Here is a 26307-nt window from a genome sequence, read left to right on the forward strand (position 1 = left end):
ACTCCCAGAAGGAACTGGCACCAGCACTACTGACCCCCGGGGGCCAGGGTGCTGCCAGCAGCAGAACCCCCAGCGCAGGCTGAGAGGCTAAGACGCGCTTCTGTGGGATGGGGAGCCTCCTTCTCCTGCGGGACTGTGGAATTTGTCCTGAACCCTGGCAGGTAGAGACCACAAAGGGACCTACCTTGCATGAAAAACATAGATGTATTACAAATTGTGATAGGTGATTTTTAAGCATAAAAGTAACATTTTGTATGAAATTCATCTCTTGATAGTCCAGGCTTTTGTTTTCAATTGGTCCATACATGTGGCTGAATACTAATTTATTGTTAGATAAAATGAGGCCCAGCATTAATTTCGAGCCTATGTTTTATTTTATAGAAGGAAGCACAAGAAAGCCCTGTTATAATAAAGCAGATGTGAATGAAAGGAATTTTAACAATGTGACTCAATTCTTTGAACTTATCCTGAGAATTATATGCCAACAATCACATAGCAATTCATTAATCAATAATTCTTTTTAGTGATCTCATCACTGATAAACTGTCGGGTCTGCCTTCAATTTTCTTGAAAGCCAAAAACTAGAAACTGCCTGACTTACAACAGGATTTGCTGCCCAGCCGTCAAAGCCATTCCCCTTCTCAACACCGTCACCAACATGATTTCAAACGGAGCCTGTGGCCTGGTGACCTGGGGCCTTGCAGCCAGAGACAGTGAACTGTCAGGTTTGGGATGGATGAGAGATTTCCTTCTTTTGTAAAGCGGCAGAACTATTGTGAAAGGGGAGTAGAGAAAAGAGAACACCAGGGGCTTTCCTGAGCAGATCATCACTTTCAGAAAAGAGTACACTGAACGTTTAAAATCTGGAAATTGAACTCCTTAAAATTATTTGCATTTGGGTGCTCCTTGGAAAGCCTTTGTATGCCAAAGCTTTGTGTACCCAGTATAAAAATCTCTGCTCCAGAATGGCTTGATCTCCTTGGAGATCAGGCAGAAAATTCTGTCTTTTGCTTTTCTTTGCAATACCTGGTTGAACCACTGACTTACCGTACGTTTTAACTTTCCTGATATCCTACCATTATGTGTTACTATCAGCCTCGAATCATCCTTTCTTATTATTTTATTCACAGAACTGTGGTGTTCTCAGTCCTTGTAGCCAATCTTCTTGTTTTTATCACAGCCTTAATAAGACAGAAAGAAATATGCATACAAAGCTATACTACCAGATAACACAGGAACAGAAAACCAAATACCACATGTTCTCCCTTATAAGTGGGAGCTAAATGATAAGAACTTATGATCACAAAGGCGGAAACAACACACACTGAACTTAGCATCTGGGGGATGTAACAGTATGTACAACAAACGCCCATGATGCGTGTTTGTCTATGTAACAAACCTTCACATGTACCCCTAAACCTAAAATAAACATTTTTTAAAAAGCTATACTACCAGATATGAAACCTTGGGCAAAGTACTTAACCTCTTTCTAAGTCTTGGTTTCCTTGTTTGTATCTATGTATCTACCTCATAGGGTTGTCATTTATTATAAAGATGAAATAAGACCATATATTCTTGAACTTAGAATATTGTTGGGTCCATGCTAGGTATAAATATTAACTATTATTATTAATATCATTAGTATCATTATACATTTAAAATCTCTAACATATTCTATGGTCAACAGTTGAAGGAAATATATTACTAATCTATGTCCATAAATTTTACTTCCCACATATTTTGACTTAAACTATAGTTTTTATTTTGTATTTGCCTTATATATTTAGTTCTCATTAACCTGCTAGTTCTGGGAGAAGGAGACCATTTTCTTTCTGTTTTTTTTTTTTTTAATTGAATGATTTTGTTTTATTCATCTTTATTTTCTTGACTATATATAGTATCCTGCGCATAGTAAGCATTCAGTAATGTTTGTGGAATTAAATTTTGTCAAAGCACACATTTTTTATTTGTGAAAGTCCATGAGTAGCTAATGATCTATTAAACTGGGAACAGAAACTTCTACCTGCATAGTTCCACAAAAGAAAACCATCTGTGTGTTTGTTTAACCAGTAGAATTGAAAGATGTTTTGACTTTGCTCCAGGAATTAGAGTTCCATGTGACCTCCAGATAATGCTGTCTGACACATAATCAGGCCTCATAGAGAAGGAATTAAAAAGCAAGCATTACAGATCCTACATTATTATTATTATTTTTTGGTTTGAGACTGACTTTATTTCTCTCCAAAAAGAAATTAAAGCAAATATTTGTGTATGCAGTTTTAAAACCTATATTTGTTTTGATAGATGGTGTAACTGACATTCATTGGTATGTACGCATGAGAGTATGACTAAAAAGGCCTCTGTACGGCTAGTTATAAACCTTTCAGTTTAGTCTGTGGCTGTACCAGCTAGGCCTACTATGAATTGTGTTTGATTCTGACTTCACCTAAATGAGCCTGATGACACGTGTGAAAAGCCCCACTTCGCTGGTTTTAGCACAGCTGTCCCTTCAGCAGACCGTGACTTGCCATTGAATTTCACATGGGTAGTCCCTTTGGAGGTGCACAGAGTCCGAAAAGCGTTTCTTCCGCCCTTCCTCTTATCACCGTATCCTTGCGCTCTTCCTAGAGCAGCCGCTGCAGCAGCATCGCTTCTACGCTGTGCCCTGCGAGCGCGCCTGGCTTGGTCGCTGCTGAAGTGGCTGAATCTTAGGAGCAGAGGACTCCCCACGCAGTCTCATGTGAACCATGATTCCTTCGTTCACTCCCAGCCCTGCTGTTAACTAGCTGTGTGATCTTGAGCAAGCTGTTGCTGCCTTCTCAGACTCGGCGTAAGCTGGAGATAATGCCCAGCGCTGACACCTGGTAGAGCTGTTGTAAGGATTAGGTGGAGGAGTGCCTGTAAAACACTTAGCACCCTATCTGGCACACAAAAAGAACACAGTACATGATGATCGTGTTATAATTGTGATTTATGACACTGATGAAATTAGTAGGAAAAGTGGTCTCTGTCAGCCCTTCAGGACTTCAGTTTAGACTAATTCCTAATCTTATAGACACTCTTCTTTTTTGCGTATCAGAGATGTAAGTATTGTAAATGTGTCTTAAATTATATCTTATTATCTGATGAAGGAATTATTATAGCCATCTGTCTTAAACTGTTATTCTAAGAAAAAAAAATGGAGAAAGAAGAAATACAGAGTGAGGGACTTAAAAATATTGAAATGGCTTTCAAAATAAAATAATCCCAAAATATGGTACGAGACAACAGAGAGATCAGAGAAGCAAATAGCCAGGAAGAAGCTCTCCTGTCAATTTGAATGTAACTTATGACAAGGGACATGGGAATAGATACCCCCAATCGTCCCAGCGGTGTGTGTTCCCACCCCAGCTTCCCAGCGCCCCAACTCCCTGCTTCTGGGACGTTTAGTCATGTTTTCTCCACTGGAGATGCCTCCATAGGGCGTAGCAGTTCCTGGAGCACAGTGGACACTGGGTGGGAGACAGGTGATTTAACTGGCCTTCCTTGGGCACCAGTGAACAGATGTTGTTGCTAGTCAGTTATGGCCCCTTCTCACGGAGTCCGGGTTCAGGTTCTGCCCCTCATTTCTCAGACAGCGTCCCAGGCCACCTCCACCCATGCCGGACTTTATGCCTTCCTTGACCGGGAGGGCCACTTATCCTTGTTCAGGTCCAAAGCTGCGAGTTTTGGTTTTGTTGTTGTTGTTGTTATTGTTGTGTTTAGAGACTTGGTCTGGCTCTGTCACCCAGGCTGGAGTGCAGTGGTGTGATTACAGCTCAATGCGGCCTCGAACTTCTAGGATCAAAAGAGATCCTCCCACCTCAGCCTCCCGAGTAGCTGGGACTACAGTAGTGTGCCACCATGCCTGGTAATTTTTTAAATTTTTTGTAGAGATAGGGTCTCACTCTTTTGTCCAGTCTGGTCTTGAACTCCTGGCCTCAAGCTATCTTCCCACTTCGGCCTCCCAAAGTGCTGGGATTATAGGCATGAGCCACCGCACCTGGCCTAAAACTGCATTGTGCATATAGCCGTGGAAGTGCTGAATTGTATTGTTATCGGGTACTTTAATAGTGATACATTCAACCGGCTGTGTGGCCTTGGGAGAGTCATTTCAACATGATGAAGGTCCAAGCCCAGGAGATGATCAGAGAATCATCCCGAGTCTCCTGCAGCCCTGGAGCATCTTCTGGTAGCAAATAATCTAAACAGGTATCTTAATAGGTGAGCGGCACGTCTCGAAGAAAAAAATCTCTCCACACAAATGGTAAAGGTCTTGAAGGAGCACCAGATCTGTAGCGTGTGCAGCACCACACTTTTCATATATGATGTGATTAGTGTAAATAAGTAGTTGATTTTGCTTCATAAGTCAAATGATGATTCTTTTACAAATAGCCGTTTGAATAATTCTTTACACCTGCTACTTAGCCATAGTTTTGCTGGAAGGATTGAGTTTTCTTCTGAAGACACAGCACTACTCTGAAGCTTATTTCCCCCTGAATTTTGTTTTTCCCATTTTTGGCTGAGAAGGCATCTGGAGTGACTCCAGCGGGTTTACCTAGGTTTTCCCTGAAGAGGTTTAGGTGATTAGACAATAACAGAAGGAAAAGTAGAGTTGCCAGTAGGTGGCTCACTATGAATGTGCTTGGGACGGGATCAGACATGTCACCCCTCCTCCACTTAGCCTTTGTTTTCAATCCCTGCTGCTTTGAGCCTTTTTCTATAATGTCTGAGTCATTTGCAGCGGGGTGGGTAAAGAGGGGAGAAAGAAGAAAGCAAGCAAGCAACAGCCTTTGAGCTCCGGAATAGCAAAGGCCCCCATCTTGCTCCGAGAGTTCACAGAGTATAGCCCAGTCCGAGTTCTCTTTTCCACGCACACTTGCTTGTTCTTTTGTTCCTTGTGTCCTTGGCAAAGACTGAAAGAACTAAGCCTGGAATACTTGGGCCCTCCCGTGTCACTTAAGAAATAATAAGCCATTGTCCTCATTAAGCCACCCTTGTTTTAGCAAATAGAATCCAGATACCGGAGAGGGAACATTTTGAAGGGAGGCAGAATTAGAGTAGAGATGCTTTACAAAATTCCCTAGAGAAACTGCTTTGTTTCTCCTATTTTATTGCTCCTTACTGAGAAGATTCATATTCAAATGGGTTGGGGTTGTGAATAGCGGCTTGCACATTCTCATGCACCCAGGAAGGCTATGATTATGGCTAATTACAATGAAGAATGAAGCTCTAACAAGAGTGTTCCATCAGATTGTCATTCATGCATGAAGTAACTTAGGCTGGCCAATGGAGGTGTGATTTTGGTAATTACAAACAATGTGGCTATTTGAAAAATGCTTAGTAAATCTGTTCAAGACAAAATAAGGTCTAATTAATCACTTTAGCTCTGAATTCTCCAGATGATCCATTTGCTCTGTTTTTTTTTTTTTAATTTAAGGTCTCTTTAATAAACTAGATCTAAGATATAAAATATGTTCTCGTTGCCCACACTTAAATGCAACTGTGTTACCTGTTTCAAAGGCTTCTTAATTCTGCCAATCATGTTGCAACCTGCTTTTAATGCAACTTGACAGAAGGCTTTTAAAAATAAATGTGTGTATATTCTTGTTGTTACCTGACAAGAAAATGGTTTATGAAAAGTTACTGTAAAACATTAACTATTAATTTAGAAGCCATATTGGTATCATCATTGTGCTGACATATATTAACTCTTGAATATTCGGTGAATGTTGTGTTTAGCACTTAAGTAATGTCTAACTATATGTATTAGTTTGTTTTCACACTGCTATAAAGAACTACCTGAGACTGCATAATTTCTAAACAAAAGAGTTTTAATTTACTCACAGTTCCACATGGCGGGGGAGGCCTCAGGAAACTTAACAATCACGGTGGAAGGCAAAGGGGAAGCAAGGCATATCTTACATGGCAGCAGGAGAGAGATAGAGAAGGCGGAAGTGCCACACTTTTAAACCATCAGATCTCATGAGAACTCACTCGCTATTATGAGAACAGCATGGGGGAGCTGCCCCCATGATCCAGTCATCTCCCACCAAGTCCCTCCTTTGACCCATGGGTATAACAATTCAAGATGAGATTTGGGTGGGGACACAGAGCCAAACCAATCACTATATTATAGGGGAGAAAAAGTAATATATTTTCCTTACCTATCACAAGGTTCGTGGCTGAGAACCTTAGAGCAAAGGACAGAGTAACAAGAGAAAAACATCACATTTATTTAATAGAGGTTATGTGACATGGGAGCCTTCAGAAATGGAGACCCAAAGAAACAGAGATGTGTGTACTTTTATGGACAGGCATGCAGAAGTAAGACTGGAGGATGAAATGGCATGCTCCAATCGGTACAAACTGGGGGCAACTCAGGGAGACCTGATTGCCCAGTTTCTTCTCCGTGTTCCTGAGTGACATTCCTTCCCTCCTGGTATAGGGCAGTACTCCTGTCACATGAGGTCTTCAGGGAAGAAGTGAGGCCGCAGGTCAAAGAGTGGCCTTCCCTGCGGTCATGGCCTGTTTCAGGGAAGAAGGGGTGGAGGGAATTCTAGTTTCCATGCCTACTTCAGGAGACAGAGGACAGGAAAAGTCACAGAGACCCTCCTGCTTCTGCGGCGTTTTCCATTTTCTTGAGCTTAAAACAGTACACAAAGGTGCTATATTTTGGAGTATCATGTTCTGAACCCCAAAAATATTCTACCTTAAATAATTGGAGGCCTCCATGAAGGCACAATGATGACATAGGAACTTATGCCTCTCTATCATTTTTTTTTTCAGTAGATGATTGAAGCGAAGCTGTTTTATGCTTGTCTCTTTTCCCGTTTGCCATTTTTGTACCTTTGTTCTCTCACCTAAAAATAGACTAATAAATGGCCAGAGTTGTTGCAAGAAATGTACAATGATAAAAACATCTAATTATTGGTTTTAAATGCATCAATCTTCAATTTCTTTTAAATGTCTACTAGAATGAAATCTGCCCAACTATCTGAGGAGCTTTGTTATTTTTAACTTATTTGGTTTCTATACATGAACCCAAAGGAACTACCTTTTCCTAATTGAATTAGCAGGGCTAGAAATTCAACTCAGCACACGTTTAACTGAGGAGTATCAGGGTTCAGAACACGCTACCCCAAAATGTGACACCTCGGAGGTCACTCTCTCACCTTCTCCCTCCCTCCTTTCCTTCATCTTCCTTTCTCCCCTGAGGAGGTTCATAGAAACCAAAATTTCTCTTTGCCAAAGCAAACCATAAAACCTAGAAAGGCCACTTTCTGACCTTCTCCTTTCTCCCCTGAAGACCCTCAAGTGATAGGTGTCTTGCCCTGAACAGAAAGGCCAAGAAGAAGCTAAACAAATAAGCCTTGCAGAGTCCCCTCAGTTTAGTACATTAGGTCGTACCCCCTTTTTGTCCAGTCACATTTCTATACAACTGTACATTTTTCCTGGAACCTATGCAAAAAAATTACATAGTTTTTCCTGGGTCTTTGGGTCTTAATTTCAGAAGGCACCTTCCTGTGTCACAGAAAACTTTTGTTACATAAATTTTTTTATGCTTTTCTCTTGTTAATCCGCCTTCTGTTATAGTAGTCTCCGCCATGACTCTTGTAGCTGGTGAGGAAAAGGTATTATTTTTTCTCCCCTACAAGAGTAATGGATTTTACAACTTTGACTGTTATACTTTCTAAAAAATGGGTTTAGCAGGGAGGTGGGGGTGGGGGAGAGAGAAGGAAGACACAAAAAAAGACTAGTTTTTATACAGATATTTTCTTATTTTAACTAATTTATATCATCTATAAAGGGAAGCAAATATTAACGTTATTAGTTTCCTCAAGAGGATAACTAAAGAAAACATTCTTGTAACAGGGGAAGAAGTAATTCCATACCTATTGTATCTATAGAGCTGTGCATTTCATGTCTCTAAAATGGAGTAATTTAAAGTTAAAAGGCCTCTTCTAGTAGTTTTCACCAAATGAATTTTATATATACTGAAGACAGATAAAATAAAAATGGTACAGAAAAACGGGAGTTTTAGAGTCTTGTTTCAATTCTTTAGAAAGTAAGTTGTCTAGCAGAACATGCCAACTTGGTTGCCTAAGAGCAATGTAAACTTGAGTCCCACTCGCCATGTTGAATTATTCTTGTTTCTATTTAGCAAGTGGTCTGGAGTCTTTGATCTGCAATGTGTGTAGTTAAAATCATTGTGGCTATTATTTTATCTGCCCAAAATACAGATTTTCTAGGATTTGACAGTATAAAGCATTTGCTTTAATAAGTTGAGATTTAATATTTAATGGTTTCTCTCAAATTCCTGATTGGTCAATGTATTGTTGCCAATTTGTAAATTTTTATCAAAGGTACAAATTTGAAATGTTTTGCTGTATATCATGGAAGAGAAGCCATGATTATGTTCCCTAAGCAAGTTACGGAGGCTTAGAGTGGATAATTATTCTCTCCTTGTCCTGGTACTGCCTTTGAAGAATTTCCATGTTGAGGGTAAGAGAAGATGGTTTAAAAACCTGATGAATTTAGGTAGTTGCTTGAGAGAATGAGTAAAGTCCATTTTTTCCCTGATTAAAATTAAGTCTGTTAGTTGCTTTTTTGCTCACCAAACACATCAATACAGATGCAGATAAGGTGAGGCCTCTTCCTGTAAATCAGCTGTCAAGGCCTATCGGGGAGAAAAACAATGGACAAGGAGGCAAACTGCTTCTCATGAAGGCTGTGCGCTTCTTGTTTGCAAGAAGAATATTTATGGGCTTCACAGCTGGCAGCAAAGAACATTTAAATATATAACTTCATACACATGCAAAGCATTTTGTAGATTAAATCAGCTCGAAGTGTAGAACCTGAGAGGGTTAATAGAATTTCTTGGTAACCATTTAATAAAATTAATGTGCTATTAGTCTGATGTCTTAATTCAATTGGCTGATATATATTCCCAGTTTTCACTCATAGGTGAGCCTTAGAAAAAGTTAGTAAAGATTGTTTTAAGATTGCCAATTTTCTAAGAATGGGAATACAATAAAATGTAGGTAATCAAAATATTGAATCTTTGATCTAGGATCTGTTAGGATAGCAATAATAGGTGCATATATAATGTCTTGTATATTCCTCAAATTTTTATTATTTCCTTTAACTTCCAAAATTAAGAAACTGCCAGAAAAGTATGGCAGGTGTTCTTAGCTACCTATCAAAGCGAAAGCAACTGAGACCCTGAGTGAAGTCGTCAACACAAGGAGCACCACAGAGGGAACGTGGAAGCTCTAAGCAAAACCCACCTCCCTCTGCCTCACCACCCACCTCTCATTATACACATCTATTTCCATCGCATCGTGGAGATGCAGAGGTGCTGGCAGAAAGTCTTGGGTACTTAACTGTTGGATAAATCTTTTACTGAATCTCTTAAAGTTATGCTCACTATAATTGTTGGTGAAATCACTTTAGATCTCTGTTGTAAAGCTCTCTAAATTTCCTCTTCCATTGGTGTTCATAGTTTATGACCTGTCCCACTGAGATGCTACTAAGGGAGTCTGCACAGAGTGGGATTTCTGTATCTGCTACGGTCTGGGTATTTCTGTATCCACTAGGGTCTGGGTATTTCTGTGTCTGCTAAGGTCTCAGCATTTTTGTATCCACTAAGGTCTTGGCATTTCTGTGTCAGCTGAGATCTTTGGTTTTAGGCGACAGAACTCCTCTCTGTCTGGCTTGACCACACGTTGGTCAGAAAGAGGCTGTACTGTGCTCCCTCTAGGACAGTCCACGGGAACTCAGAGGACTGAGGAGGTGACTCAAAAGTTTGGAAGGTGTTTCAAGATTTAGAAGGCAGGATTCAGGTAGCCCCAGAGAGTCTTGGGAATGAATTCCAATTCCCCCTTGTACCACCTTTCACGAGACTCCGGATTATAGGGGCGAAGGAGAAAGACGGGCAAAGCTTCTGTCATGTCATTACACTGGGAAGTGAGAGGGAAGTGCTGGCTGAACCTCTTGGGACCCCCTGTATACTCTGTGGTGGGGGAGAGGGGAAGCGTCTTTGTTTACCCCCTCAATACTTTATACAGCAGAAGAAAGGAGATGCCTGAAAAGGCAACGGGGATGCATTTAGGAAGAAGCAATTGATGCTAGGCACACAAGAAATGCTGCAACATCTAAGTTGTACCTGAAGCAGAATTTCAATTTAATGTGCCATGTCAAGGTGGCCACAGAGCCATCTTTATAAACTGGGAGTATCCACATATTCCAGACTCAGAGAGCAAAGATCCAGGACTAGTACAGAAAGTCACTCCGTATAACTGGAAAAGCTTGCTTGTCTGCTTTCAGATACGTTTCTCAACCCTCATCCATAACACGATGCTGTAAACCCTAGAGTAAGACAGAGATAAAGCATGTGCTGGGATGAAGAGAGCCACTTTGGGGAAGTGCCACCACATCCCAGGCTGCAAGGCATCTCTCTCTGCTGCTTGTGCAGACTGGCTGGGGTGAGCTTTGGAGCTGGTCTCATCTCGAAGGCAGGCGCTGCTGAGGCCTCTGTGCCCTTTTGCCTGGGTTAGATTTGGCTTCAAAATTAATTTGAAATCATTTAATCTTGCTACTCTCAGCAGGTCAGTGATTAACAGGAAATTCAGTGCCCATGTTGGTCCTGTTTATGAGCCCAAGTCTATGTCATAAGTAAAAACAGGCTTAAACACATCAGGAAACTACTCAGTATAGAGTGGAAAAAGCCTGGGCTGGGCTTCCACTCAAGGGCCCTGCACACACTGCATCCACAGGCCCTGAGGGCAGCCCCTGGGCTTCAGCCGTCTGCGTGCACTCTTGTCTAGTACCGTGCCTGATGTGGGCTATGTGCTCTACTGGTATTTGTTGAGCACATCATCAAGTTACTACGTGAATAAACATCACTTATCTGGGTCTTGGTTTCCCCCATTTGTAAAACCAGAGAGTTGGGCTAGGAAACTTTTGAGTCCCTCCAGCGCAGTGATTGATGTATAACATAATCAGCAATGTTGAACTTTGAAGAGAATACAAGCCTTATGTTGTCACTGATATATTTCAGAACACCTTGTTACTATTTGTAAGGATGTTTGAGAACATGTGGGCAAATGCATCTATTTTTTCTTCCCTAAAAGGTAAACTTGTCTCCTTTACAACCAAACAAAAGAGGATGGCACTGCATAGCAGAGGCTAAGCTACAGGCTGGGTACCACTGAGCAGTGGAGTAACCCAAGTTTAAACTTGAAACCACATTTGTGCAATAAGCAAAAGCTTCACATTTATAGAACATCGATGCTGCGGCACAGCAGGCTACTTTCATATGTGTTATTTCATTAAATCCTTAAAACTTCAATGTCGTATGTATGTATTATTTAATAAATAAGGAACCACAGACTCAGAGAGTTTACTTAATTTGCCTAAGGTCACAGAGGTAATAAATGGATAAAACCAAGATTTGAATATAGGTCTGAATAAATTATTCATGCTCTCATACCTACCTATTTAATGTTATGGAGTTGTCTACCTTTCTGCTTCATTTTTCTTTATATTTTTACTCTACATGATCCTTATTTTGAGGCCTTCCATTGCTTGTTCTCCTTCTCTTGATTCCTGCATTATTTCCTTTCCAACATGTGCTTTGATGCATCTGTTTTCTCTATGGAGCCAAGGAATTTTCCATCCTCTCAGTTTTATGGGAAGATACAGAAATTCTCTACTCATTGAGTCCCAATGACAATCTAATTATTTCTAAATCTCACCGTCCAATAATTATCTTTTTAAGCTCTTCCTCTCCCTCTGAATTGTGTGGTGTGTTCCCTGTTGACATTTGATTAAGGCTTTGCCCATGCTGCTTGAATAAAAATATTTATATTTCAAAATTTCTGACTGCCAATTATCCATATTTTGATGCTTAATGTCCATAATATCACAATTTGACATGAAAGATATTCTTAAAAATCATTTTATTATAGCCACAGAGTAGAGTTGGAAAAATAACTCTAGGATAAACAAATACATACTTATTCATTCCATACCTGCTTGATGACCTACTATGTGCCAGGCCTTATTCTAGGTGCTCACACATAGCACCTAGAATTCTGTTGATCCTGGGAGTTTAACGATAGGCAAATAGAAGTACAATGAGACAGATGACAGATGTTCTTTCTTCCTGCCTGTCTACCTACTTGTCCATCCATCAATCTTCATGAGAAAATGGACTCAAGATTTTGAAAACCTCAAAATGCTTCCTTTTGTTCTAGCCCTTGCTTTCACGTTTAAATGAACTCTCAGTGTTGTATATATATTTTAGAAAGTTTAATTTTCACTAAAATAAACTTTCAGTCTCTACAAGTGTTGACATTTAACTCCAAGAATACTTTAGTTGGTTGGAAAATCATTTCTGGTAAAGACTTCATTGTAGAGAGGAGACTTCTCCACCTCTGATTACTCCTACACCTTGACTGAGTACTGACTACATGTACTAGACGTTTGTTGTGAGCAAGTTTCATATACTATTTTATTGTGTTCCCACTACTGACCTATAAAGTATGTGCTATTATATTTTGTTTCATTTCCTGTCCAAAGAATATTTTTTTAACCAAAGAATCCAGTAGAAATGCCTTTAGACTTACATAGTGATTGTTAGGAGAATGATCTATAGCTGTTCGGAGTTTGCAGAACCTCGAGTGAATCTTTCACCAATTACTAAATGTTAACCGAACATTTGTGAACATGTGTAATATACTCCCTCTAGGACGGGATAAAACCTCAAGAAACCTAGGAAAATGGCCAAATTCTTGCTCTGGACTGCGGCTCTCAATGATAATTGGCATATACTGGTTATTTAAGACCTCACAGCTGCTCTGGTCTGAATGCTATTTGAGATATAAAATTGTGGGCTATGTATGCAATCTGCCTTGGCTCCCATAAAATTAAGAAGTTTAATTATTAATGTATATGAGTATGTTGAGAAAATGATATAGTTCCACTGACTATGATAGTCTTGCTGTATTACCTGCTGTTTTAGGATATAGGGATACAGCATCTTAATATAATTGACAGTAAGCCTTCTCATTGTAAATTAATCTGAGTGCTTCACATTGAAACATGATTCTTTTTTAATGTATATATTAAGTTTCGACTACATGGATGCCTTTTAAACTTTCTAAAGAAGATTTTAAAAAGCTTAGACTGTAGCTATTCAGATTTATAATTCCACTCAACTCTGCTATATGATCCTGAAAATGTTTAAGTACATTACATATAACTTAAATTATTTAAAAGTTTATTTTACACTTCTTGAAGACTAAGAACTCCTTGAATTTATTTCACAAAAGGCTTATCTTCTCCAGAATAAATTTAACTTGCCTCATGTAATTAGCATTCAGAAAGGCTCGAATTAACTGGAACATAGCTAAATAGAACCTTTAATTTACTAGATTTTTTTTTTCTTTTTGCTCTACTTTTAGAGCTTGAAATCATTGGAAAACAAACAAAATAGCAAAGATTTGTTTTAAAAATCAGCCTCCAAGGTTAGTGCTAGGGTCAGTAAATAGCTAGCCAAGTTTTCATATTACAAACCTATATAGTTATGATTTATTTAAAATGATGAACCAGAGATACCCATGTTTTCTAATGCATGAAAGAAATATTACAGAAATATTAAATATGTTATTTGCTGGGGTGAAAAAATAAGCTAATAGATGTTGAGAATATTTTCAGCAATGAAAGATTGAAGCAGAATTGATTTCCTAGTTATCACTCTGAAAACCAAGAAATTAAATGAACCCAAACTCATTTTTACCAGAGCATTCTAATTAATCAAATGGATTAACAAATGCATGAGTGAGGGATGAAAAATACTTGTGGGAGAAAAACAGAGGTGATACTTTTGGTGAGAGAAATTGCTCATGTAAAATAATTTTAAAGGAAGTTACACATTTATTGAATGCAGCATATAGAGTCCTGTGCTTCCGGTCTTTACCAACTAATCTCCCCTAGGCCCTACCGTCACCCATCCCTTTTCCAGAAATCTTCTAAAAACATCTCCTTCTTCTCCAATTACTCTTTATTATAATATTTATGATTAAAGTCTGGCAACATTTATGTGCCAGGTACTATCCTTACTGACATAGAAACCCTATGAGCCATAGAGCTCGCTCTTTTGCTATAACTTCTTAGAGTTTTCTGCACTTCAGATTTCGCCACTTCAGATATTTCATTATTCCATGTTTATTTCAAGAGAGGTTTACCAAATACACAGAAGAAAAAAAAAAATCTCTAAACTAGAATGCTGATTTCCAATTCCCCTGTTTCAACTAGTTACTGACTTTCCTACTTCCAAAACAGTTTGAGGGAACTTAAAAGACACAGTTACAATAAAAGCCTAAACAGAAAAGAAAGCAGGATGGAGAAAGAGAATTCTATCAGAGTAATCATGCTAAGAAAAGCAAAGTGCACCCAACCGAACCAAAAGATACCAGAGATACTCATGACAGGAAACTTGACAAGCTCCACTGTGCATGTTTGATTAAAGGAAGTAAATCAGTGCATCAGGAAAGCCAAACATTTTCTCTTGACTAAACTTCAAGAGGTGTTTCCTCTGTGGTTCTTTGTCTCAGAGTTTGTCCATGATAGGCATGGAGAAATATTTGTTGCATGGTAAATAATAAATATAAGTGATACTTAGCTGATAACCAGGGTCCACAGCGGGAAAGACTGGGCAATAGGTCTCCACTCCTTGTCCTGCTTCCACTGTGAAGTTACCTTTGCCAGCGGCTCAGTACCAAATGCTCAATTGCCCCTGAGAAGTGTCACCTGAATGCTCCCCAGTCTTCTAGCCCACTGACCTTGGCACCCAATTAAAACAGCTTGATCCCTCCTCTCACATACTATCAGAAGCCTCAGGACCCTACCTTGTGTTTTGTTATTTTGGGTTTTGTTTTATTCTATTTTTGTTTTTATTCCAAACTCTTGCTGTGGGACCTTCTTGGATATCTCTCCATCCCTGTTGCCATTTCTCCCTCCACATCTCTGGTAACAGATGTGAGACTTCTTGGACATCACTGTGGGAAACACAGTGGCCTTCATCCCCTGCACCCTGGCTTCCTGAAGGGCTGTGCTGGCTTCTCCTCCAGGGTCCCTACCTTGAAGCCGCTTCAGGTTCCTCTGTATTATGCAGAGCAAGGGGACTCTCCTCTCTCCGCTCCCAGACTATTCAAAAGGCCCGCCATCTTTGCCTTATTAAAATGTGCATTGAGATATTTTCCAAACGAAAAGAACTATCCGCAAGAAAAATGTATTTCTCCTCCAGCAACTGGCCCGAACTGAAATGAGATTTTAAAATATTTTCTCCCTGTGACACAGACACACCTTGATGAACCAGGTGGCTACCCTCTAGGGTCCTGGGAACATCTCCCAGTCAGAACAGGCCCGGTTTTCTCCAGCAAGAGAAGATGGTTCTCTAAGGAGCCCTCGTCCTAGAAGGCAGCGTCGTAGAGGGAAAGAACCAGGCCTGGAGCCAGGCCGACGTTGGTTTAATTCTTTTCTCTATAACCCATTACTTTGCTGCTGGCTCTTGGACGATTCTCAGAACTTTTCAGAGCCTCACTTTTCTCATCAATAAAAGGGAGAGAAGAAAGCTTAGCTTTGTATTGCAGGCGCCATTTACCCTTCAGGGTGACTTCTCTTATGACTTTTCTTATTCCAGACCCTTTTGCATTTTAAGCTGGATCTCTCACTGAATAAGGAGAGGGTTGCTTCAAAGGATTTTCAGACACCTTTGAACAGGCAGCAGAGATGCCTTTGCACATGGCCTTGGTGACTAGGATAGGATACACGGTGTTCCTAGATCCAGCCTGGAACTAGAGGCGATAGGCCGCCCTGAAAGGCCAATGGGCTTTCAAGGTGGACAGCCGTGGTTTTAAATCCTGGCCTTTTCCCCGCTATTACTAGAGCGACCATCAGACTTTTTTGACCTCAGTTTTGTCTCTTTAAAATGGAACAAGAATTATCTAACAGACAGAATTACATCTTTTAGATTGTCGTGAGGAAAGCGCTTCCCATAGTGCTGGGTAGACTGGGAGCGCTGGGAGCTGTGGCAGGCCAGCCGCCGCAGCACAGTGGTGAGATGCGCGGTCCACAGTCGTTCCCCCTTGGGAGTTGTTCTCCCCTGAGGAACAGAGGATAGGGACTCTGTCTGAGTGCCTGGAGAGGACCCCTTGCTCTGGCATTGAGTTTCTTCCAGCCCCGCCCCATGCAGGTGAGATCCCTACTCACAGCCTAGGGCGCACCCGAGCCGCCAGAGCACAGCCTCCTTTCCGGCTCATCACCTGCTTCCTGCGGGAGGAGAATACGCAACTCCTTCGCCATGCACATGCGCACAGGGTCTGCCGCGGGATGCCCTGTCTTTCCTGTAGATGGGGAATTGTTTGGGATTGTTACACAATCACAAACCAACACTGAATCCTACTGAAAAAGGACACAGGCTCTTTGAACTCTGCACTAGAACCTAAAACCAAATTCCTTTTAGACCTGTTCTAGGAGGACTACGTTAACCTGATAGCTGCTGACACAGGGCAGCATGCCTAAAGCTCCTAAGTTAGACTGGTAGGTACCGTTAATTATTCCTCGTTACATCACGCAGGTACACAGAGGGACGATGACATGTGCATCCTCTGCTCAGAATTGCTTCTGTGCTGCTGGTGACGATGGCTTCATGGGTCTTTACAGAATGTAGAGGAAGAGAACAGCAAAGATTTGCTGGGGTTTGCCACTGAATAGCAGCAAAGGCAAATCCCAAATAACAGTGGATGTATTTCATTATCAGTAAAATGAAGGGGCTGGGCTAGGGCGGCTCCAAGATCCCTCTGGCTCAGAACGTTCCTTGATACTTTGATTCCATCTATGTAACATAGCCTGAAAGTCTTAGCATGTTTTCTGAGATTATCCCAGTAGAATACCTTGTCTGCAAAAGGCTGAAATTTATTATTTGGGAATAATAAATCAGAACAAAAAAAGATGTAGAGTCCACGGTATATTATTAGTTTTGAGTGTACTAATCCTTATTTTATGAGATTTAATTTTTGAAATGTTTACCTTTCCATTCAGACTATTGTCAGGAAAAAAAGCGTGATTTTTGTGTTCAGGGAAGAGGTAGGCAAGGGACTAATGAATATGTGCTTTGCCCTTGCTCTGATAAATGCTGTAGTTATAAAAAGTCGTGGCAGGTTATGGGGGCCCTTTTGTTTACCATGATAAAATTAATACCTTACAAGTTTTCAAAGGAGTTTGTAAGACGTTACAGATTTATTTTTAATATAATTTCAGAGTTGGAAAGCTAGACAGTTGGAAGTAGTGCTTGGAAAGCCTGATTCTTGATAAATTCATTATCAATAATACCATGTGCAGAATAAAATTACAATTTCAGCAAAGAATATTCTTCCATAACATTTTATTATTACTGTGAAACTAATTAAACATTGTAATCTGCAAGTAATTAAAAATTTACCTGAAAATATACTATGAGCCCTGTTGACAGTACATGGAGCATTTTGTGCGATTATTTAATGTCTGCTATTTTTTCTTGGTTGCTCTATTAGGAAATTGTAGTCTATATGGTTTTATAAAAAGGAGGCAAATTATAGACTAATGGAGCTAGAAGACTCATTAAAAGATGATCTGCCCCTGGGAGATTGGGTGTCCTCTTTGAAAGGCTTCTGAGATGGAATGGAGACATTCCTGGGAGCCCCTCCTGGGTTTGGTACCGTGGAAATCCAGGTGACTGTCACTCTATTCACTATTATGTGTCCCTGCGTTCCTTAAGCACATTTTCACAGATGTATTTTTCACATGCAGGGAATGCATACAAAGCAACTAGCACACTGCTTAATGATTACCAAGCGTTCAATGAAGAGAATCATTCTACTAGTATTATTCTTTGTGCATGGATTATTACAATACTCTAACTTTTTTAACTTTTCACTCAGAGGGATATTCCAATGAGACTTTTTATTATAACTCCTCATTCACTTACCAGTGTGATTTCTTGCTACCACACGTACATTTCTTCTTTTTTAAAATTCTTATTTCCATAGGTTTTTGGGGAACAGGTGGTGTTTGGCTACATGAGTAAGGTCTTTAGTGGTGATTTGTGAGATTTTGGTGCACCCATCACCCAAGCAGTACACACTGAACCCAGTTCGTAGTCTGTTATTCCTGACCCCCTTCCCATGCTTTCCTCCTGAGTCCCCAAAGTCCACTGTGGCATTCTTATGCCTTTGCGTCCTCATAGCTTAGCTCCCACTTATGAATGAGAACATATACATTTCTTCTAAATGTGCTCTGGTTTATCCATATATTATTGGAAATAAAGCCACCACAACTGATATCTTACTTTATGAGTGTTTCTTATGGGGTAGAAATTTCTGATATAATAAAGGCCAAAGTTGTAACATATTTATTACCTTTACTTCAGCCAGACTCACAAAAATAGCTGCGTTGATAGCTCTCTCCTGATCTCTAATCTCTTCCTTCCTCCCTCCTTCTCTTGTTTCTTTTCTTTCATGCATTGAAAATTGACTGGGGCACCATTTTCAATGCTGGAATATGACTGTGAACAAAAGTAAAGGCCTGTGGTATCATAGAATGTTAAGTTTTGGGAGTGGGAAATGACAATTAGTTATTTAATCAAGGAAAGGCATAATTCCAAAAAATGTCAATTGCTATGAGAAAATTAAAACGAGGTGATGTGGGGGTGGTAACATACTCTAGATGGGTTAGTCAGAAAAGGCTTTGTAAACATTGTAACTGTGCTCCTTTTAGGAATTTCTTAATATTTATCAATAAAAGTATGCAATCATACTTTTGTATTTTATTTTTATTAAGTTTGATAAATAGGTGATGTTTATATAAGGCACATATATTTTATGAAGTTATAGTTTGAATGTGATTACCATTTTAAATAGCAAAGATCTGTTAGTTCTGGTACAAGGTATTTCCCCAAGGTCTTACAGAAATGTAAAGGGTTGATACTATTCTGAGTGCATATAAAACTTTTAAAACTGAAGAACATTGTTTAGCACTATACAAACTATAGCAATAATTTAAGATCTGCCATAGTGGCCTTCTTCTGTGCCTCAGAGAACTTGGAAATCATCAGTAGCTTATGCTAACATAAAAATACATTAACCATGAGTTACACATTCTCATATATATGTTTTCAAATACCAGCAATCATTTCATTAAAAATAAAACAAGCACTTCCACTTATCTTAAAGACTACTTCTCGGCTGGGCGCGGTGGCTCACGCCTGTAATCCCAGCACTTTGGGAGGCCGAGGCGGGCGGATCACGAGGTCAGGAAATCGAGACCATCCTGGCTAACATGGTGAAACCCTGTCTCTACTAAAAATACAAAAAATTAGCTGGGCGTGGTAGCAGGCGCCTGTAGTCCCAGCTACTCGGGAGGCTGAGGCAGGAGAATGGCGTGAACCTGGGAGGCGGAGCTTGCAGTGAGCTGAGATGTGCCACTGCACTCCAGCCTGGGTGACAGAGCCAGACTCCGTCTCAAAAAAAAACAAAAACAAAAACAAAACAAAACAAAAAAAAACAAAAGACTACTTTCTCAATAGAATATTTTAAATTCTTCCAAACACTGTAAGATATGTTTTAAGATTAACTACCATTTTTTAGCTGAATTAATTTTGATTCTAACAATAACTACAAAATGTGACATTATGTTTTCCATCTTATAGATAAGGAGGCTCAAGAACAGAGAGGGAAGTTCAGAGCTTGCCAAAACCACAGTCATGAGAGATTTTAAGGAGGTGGACTCATAGCCAGGGCTTCTAACTCCAGATGCCCTAAGTTCTCTATGAGAGCTCAGTGCTCAGTGTCATTGGAAGACAGTAGACAGCGGTATTGTTAGGTTGACTAAAATCTGGAGGAAATTGGTCACTTGATAAATGTAATTTTAAAATATCTTCATTCTGTAAATAGATTAATACTTCTAAATAAATCTTATCTCTAGCAGTTGAGTATTAGAATGCTGTATTATAAACTTACGCCAACAAAAATTAATGATGTTGAATTGAGAAACAAGAAAGAAGATATTTAAATGTATCATTACCCCACTTACTTTTGTCTATAAGAAATTGCTCATTTCCAGATTTTTCTTTCCTACTCAAGCCAGCCTTTTGGCTTTCTAAAAAATAAATACATAATTAGAAAATTAGAAATTAGAAACTTCCCTAAAAATTGTAATAAAACTTGTACAGATTATAGAAAACGTTCACAGGAAAGAAGAGGGAGGGAGGGAGGTAATTTCTATAATTGGATTATTTTTGTAAAACCTTTTCAAGAAAAATTGCAGGTCCAGACACCCACATTGTCCTAGCAACTACCTTGGTTCCCACCATCCCACCGCTGCTCAAGGCACCCCCACCTTTATTCTGAACTGAGTGATTTCCAAGCACAGTTTGCATAAAGAGACATGAATAGAGTTTCAGGGAATGAGCGCTCATAGGTAGTGCAATACTTTATTATCTCTTATAATTATACTGATTTTAGCTTCAAGGCCTGACTGATATCACTAGGTATCAGAATCTCAATTTTATTAGTACATTAAAAAAATTACTCAGTTAAGAAGTAAAAGTTACAAAAACCAGTTTAATGTGTAATACAGCCATTTACAGTGCACATGTAAGCCTAACCCAGATGCCAGAGATGAACGCTTAGCTTGGGCTTTCTGCCTAATATGTTTTTCCCTGGAACTACAGGTATTATTTATACGTATGAGATGTGGTTATCAAGAAATAAATAAGAATACTAAATTCCAAGAGTAGTTTGGTTTTTCTGTTTGTGTGTGTGTGTGTGTGTGTTTAGGTAACTGGGGTACGTTTCTGGCTTGCCACATCTTCCTCAGTACCTACAATAGTGCCCTGTCCATCATAGATTCCTAATAAAATACAGATTGACTCATTAATGGTAGGTCACATGTCATTATTTTCTCAATTTTAGTGGTAGGAGTTATTTCTTTCTAAACCTTTACTTTCATTTACTCAACACATATGTGTCTGTCTTAGCACTGAATCTATTGCTGTAGGTCAGCAAGACATTTTAAAATTGTTCTTGAAAGAATGCTATGAAATTATGTAATCTGGTCAAAGTAGGAAAGCATAAAATTGGCAAAATGTCCAAAGCAAAGCCCATACTGTAAAAATCATGTCCTGATGTCACTGGAAGTTGTTTTGGGCATGAAACCAGCAATGAAGCAAACCAGGATGACCCTCTTAGAGCCCAACTAGATCCTAAATGTCATTAAAGTCACTAAAGCACTTTACCACTAAATGTGGTAAAGATTCCTTTGGAAACTAGCTAGCTTGAAAAACCAATTCGGCACCAAAACTTTCAGTGACTCACATCTTATCATCAGGCCAGCTTAAAATTAATTTGATATGCTACCCTGACACTAGGCATGAAAAGAAAATAAGATTAGCCAGTACATTTTTGCCTACCATTCAGCAACAAATGGAAGAGCCAAATAACTGCGCATTCACTCTTAGATTCCTTGTAACTCAAGTTATCTTCTTTTCAATAAACGAAACCAAGCTACAAACAGATTTTATTGCTTACAAGTGAGCAGCGCTTCTGATTGTGCACTTCCATGTCAGACCTCACATTAACAATAGTGATTATTTCAGAAATGTGCATAAACTCAATATTGGAATGAATTGTTTTACAATTGTTTTGTATTCCAAACCAGACAGATCAGGCAAAAACATGAGGGAGTTAAAAAAAAAAAAATATATATATATATATGTATATATATGCTCAGATGAAGGCTAGGGTATCAAATAGTTGAGTTTTTTTGTAACTTTACTTCCTCCCCTCCAAATTCTGAGATGGCTTAAAGAACTTTTATTAATAAGACAAACTATTTTAATCTTTCCCTTCAAACTTTAGCTGCCGATTTGCCTACCAGTTTGTGACTTGGAATGTCCTTATTTTTTTTATATCATTTAGGGTTTTGGGCTAGGGCTTAGGTGCCTGGATCCACACTCATCCATCTTCCTTCTTAGAGTGATAGCCAGGGGTCTGTTCACAGGAGGGCAAGAAACCAGTGGCAAACAGAATGCCAGCCAATTCACCAGACTGGGAAATGCCTAGTCAGCTTCAAAGCCAGATCTCCTGGGAGGTCGCAGATGGAAGCACGTGACCTGCACCACAAGGCTGTTTGCCTCTTTCCCTCAAATCTCTGCCTGATGGACACCCCCCAATGTGGCGATTAGATTTTATCACATCAGTGTGGGGGGAGGCCAGTCAGAATCATCCACAAGTACCAGGGCACAGAGAGAGGAAATGAGGCATGGCTCCTACATGCATAGACACACATGCATTCACACACTTACATATACATTCACACACTCGCACACACTTATTCCCACATCACACACAAAGTCACATTCATACGACTCGCACACATTCACACTCACATTCACATCATTCACACAGATTCTCACACTCACACACCCATTAACACACTTACATAAACATTCACACAGTTACACATTCATATACACACACACATACACTCACACAGTCACATGCCTCCGGTCACACACATTTACACACATTCATACGCCCACATACATTCATACACATGTATGTATTCACACATATGTATATTCACACATGCTTTCACACTCACACATGCATTCACACCCTCACACATTCATTCATGTGCTCACACACATTTGCACACTCACACATACATAGTCATGCACATTCACACGCAGACATTCACACACAGATGCACACACAGACATTCATACACATTCACACACACATCCACGCACATTCACACACACACATGCACACACAGACATGCACAGACATTCACACACAGACATGCACACACAGTCATCCACACACATTCACACACACACATGCACACACAGACATGCACAGACATTCACACACAGACATGCACACACAGTCATGCACACACATTCACACACATTCATACACAGACATTCACACACAGAAATTCACACACAGACATTCCCACACAGTCATGCACACACATTCACACACAGGCATTCATACACAGACATTCACACACACATGCTTCCTTCACCTGCACCATCTGTGTAGTATGGTGTTTAGACATCCTCCATCTTTTCTCGTTAAACATTTTAAAAACTCTTAGCCAAAAGTGGCTGAAAGAAATATCATCTTTATTATTCTGTAAGTTTTTGTTTCACATAGGTTGTACATTAACCACTTGTCCTTTTCCTCTAAGTAACATACAGTCTATGTCCAAGGCTGGTTTTCCCCCAAAAATTCTGCTGCAATAATTGTGTCCTTGACTTGGGGTCACATTACAACATTAAATGCATGGAGTTATCAACCTGGCATTCCACTAATGCTCCAAGTTTTATGTTTAAATAGTCTTCATTAGTTGTATTTCCAGGGAGGTCTTCTTCCTCCAGTATGATCTTCTAAATGCTTACTGACCATTCAGTCTTGGAAATAATTTTTCTTTCTATTTCCCTGGAGCTTGAACTCATGTGTCTATCTCCAGTTGTTCTACATCATGCTTGTCTGAAGTGAACAGAGATGAGAAGGAAAATGTTTATACATTTCCTTCCCTAGATAGAGCCGAAGATTACAAAAGGCCTCCCAGCTCTGTTCCTTCACCACCCCCTCCTCCATGCTAAAACCATGCATGCTTCCCGGGTATCACTGTTCTCATGTGGGTGCAGCCATCTGGAGGGTAGCGTTTCAATATTCATGGTCACCATCATAGGGGGTTCCTCTCCAAAGAAAGCAATGACAAGTGGAACCTCATTGTAGGTGGATTTGAGGGAGACTTTACACTACTGTGAAGCTTTCTTCTGACAAGGAGGAGGTCAAGAGTGGGAAGGGAGGCCAAGGCCACAAGATTCCACTGGAAACCATCACTCTCTTCCTGCTGTCCTCTAATAATACAGGAGAGAATATGGCATCAGCAACTGCCAGCAGGATCCCTGGGAGATCTTTTCTCTCTTTATTGTTTACATGATATCACTTTAATATTCAGGAGGCTTTGATTTGCATTTCTCTAATTACCAGTGATGATGAGCTTTTCTTCATGTTTGATGGCCGCATAAATGCCTTCTTTTGAGAAGTGTCTGTTCATATCTTTTGCCCACTTTTTGTTGGGGTTGTTTGTTTCTTCTTGTAAATTTGTTTAAGTACCTTGTAGATTCTGGATATTAGTCCTTTGTCAGATGGATAGATTGCAAAAATTTTCTCCCATTCTGTAGGTTGCCTGTTCACTCTGATGATAGTTTCTTTTGCTGTGCAGAAGCTCTTTAGTTTAATTAAATCCCATTTGTCAACTTTGGCTTTTGTTGCCATTGCTTTTGGTGTTTTAGTCATGAAGTCTTTGCCCACACCTTTGTCCTGAATGGTATTGCCTAGGTTTTCCTCTAGGGATTTTATGGTTTTAAGTCTTACATTTAAGTCTTTAATCCATCTTGAGTTAATTTTTGTATAAGGTGTAAGGAAGGGGTCCACGCCAGTTAGAATAAAGTCAGGAAACAACAGAGGCTGGAGAGGATGTGGAGAAATAGGAACACTTTTACACTGTTGGTGGGAGTGTAAATTAGTTCAACTGTGGTGAAAGACAGTGTGGCGATTCCTCAAGGATCTAGAACCAGAAATACCATTTGACCCAGCAATCCCATTACTGGATATATACACAAGAATTATAAATCATTCTACTATAAAGACACATGCACACGTAAGTTTATTGCAGCACTATTTACAATAGCAAAGACTTGGAACCAACCCAACTGCCCATCAGCGATAGACTAGATAAAGAAAATGTGGCACATATACACTGTGGAATACTATGCAGCCATAAAAAAGAATGAGTTCATGTCCTTTGCAGGGACATGGATGAAGCCAGAAACCATCATTCTCAGCAAACTAACACAGGAACAGAAAACCAAGCACCACATGTTCTCACTCAGAAGTGGGAGTTGAACAATGAGAACAAATGGATACAGGGAGAAGAACATCACACACCAGGGCCTGTTGGGAGGTTGGGGGCTAGGGGAGGGATAGCATTGGGAGAAATACCTAATGTAGATGATGGGTTGATGGGTGCAGCAAACCACCATGACACATGTATACCTATGTAACAAACCTGCACGTTCTGCACATGTATCCCAGAACTTAAAATATAATAATAAAAAAAAGAAAAAAAAAAGGAAAATATTTTCCAAAATAAAAAAATGTTTAAGAAGAGGAAAAAAAATTCAGGAGGCTTCAGTCAGATGTGGACTTACTGGGACCAAATATATAAGACATGTTTTATATCTGATAGAAATGTTTTAGGGAAGACATAGTGCAACGTTCCTTGGTTCAGAAATGGCATCCCTCTTCTTGTCCTGCCCAGAAGAGTCAATATGCCTATAACATATCAGAAGGGATTTTGCTTTCCATTAAAAAAGTAGATTCATGGTCTTTCCCTTTATAGAATTATAGTTACCAATGAACAAGTTCCTATCCCCAAACTATTAGATAGCAACGGTCACCATGGTAACTAAGTTGAGTGCTATGAATTATTTCTTACAACATTATTTTTGGAGCTTTACCTAAGGTTATAGATAGTTTCACTTAACTGGGTAAATACTAAATTTAGAATATACCTGTGAATTATAAATAGTATGAGCAAAAAGCATAATAATATTAGTAGATTAAAATTCTGAGACTTTTTTATATTAGGGGAATTGGAATAATAACTTTAAATGTTTGTAAGATGCAAGTGTAAGTGTGAGATGCAAGTGTAAAGTGTAAGATGCAATATCACAATTCACATTTTTACAACATAATTAAAAATTGACATTATGACACAGAAATGAGATATTAAATTATAACAACAGTTTTTAAAAGTCATGTATGTGAATAAGAAAATTATTTTAAACTTAATTTTTAATGTTTCTTCACTAAGTAAAAAAACACACCAATGTAGCTGTCTTGATAATGAATTCTTTTTTGAATAAAGTAATAATGAGAAACATTTTAACAAATAAAATCTATTTTACTTTTTTAGAGTGTTTGATGCTGTTACAAATATTGAATAGACTGAATCTTTTTCTCATCTGTGCCTGCCTATCTCTGTGTATAATGAGATTGTTACTTGGATTCAAAGAGTGACATCAGCAAGATGGCCAACTAGAGCCACCTGATGCTCATTCCCCCAACAAAAGGAGACCAAAACAACAGATGGTTACCCATG

General features: G+C 39.4%; 1 protein-coding gene across 20 annotated transcripts in view, besides 4 other annotated features; it reads left to right on the plus strand.

Moving 5' to 3' along the window:
• PACRG (parkin coregulated) overlaps positions 1-26307 on the plus strand; it is a 588369-nt gene that overhangs the window by 125200 nt on the left and 436862 nt on the right. The gene's annotated exons all lie outside the window — the stretch shown is intronic.
• Positions 3467-6567: an enhancer, noted in NCBI's record as "VISTA enhancer hs1358". NCBI's record gives its function as "enhancer in: forebrain[9/9]" and the evidence as "EXISTENCE:transgenic organism evidence [ECO:0001131][PMID:17130149]".
• Positions 4360-4923: an enhancer, noted in NCBI's record as "OCT4-NANOG-H3K27ac hESC enhancer chr6:163277723-163278286 (GRCh37/hg19 assembly coordinates)". NCBI's record gives its function as "activates a minimal SCP1, AML or CMV promoter by ChIP-STARR-seq in primed H9 embryonic stem cells {active_cell/tissue: H9 hESC(primed)}" and the evidence as "EXISTENCE:reporter gene assay evidence [ECO:0000049][PMID:30033119]".
• Positions 4526-4820: an enhancer, noted in NCBI's record as "tiled region #2130; HepG2 Activating DNase matched - State 4:PromP". NCBI's record gives its function as "activates a minimal TATA promoter and a strong SV40 promoter by Sharpr-MPRA in HepG2 cells {active_cell/tissue: HepG2}" and the evidence as "EXISTENCE:reporter gene assay evidence [ECO:0000049][PMID:27701403]".
• Positions 4924-5486: an enhancer, noted in NCBI's record as "OCT4-NANOG-H3K27ac hESC enhancer chr6:163278287-163278849 (GRCh37/hg19 assembly coordinates)". NCBI's record gives its function as "activates a minimal SCP1, AML or CMV promoter by ChIP-STARR-seq in primed H9 embryonic stem cells {active_cell/tissue: H9 hESC(primed)}" and the evidence as "EXISTENCE:reporter gene assay evidence [ECO:0000049][PMID:30033119]".

Source organism: Homo sapiens, chromosome 6 (assembly GCF_000001405.40).
Source record: "Homo sapiens chromosome 6, GRCh38.p14 Primary Assembly".
Lineage (NCBI taxonomy): Eukaryota > Metazoa > Chordata > Mammalia > Primates > Hominidae > Homo > Homo sapiens.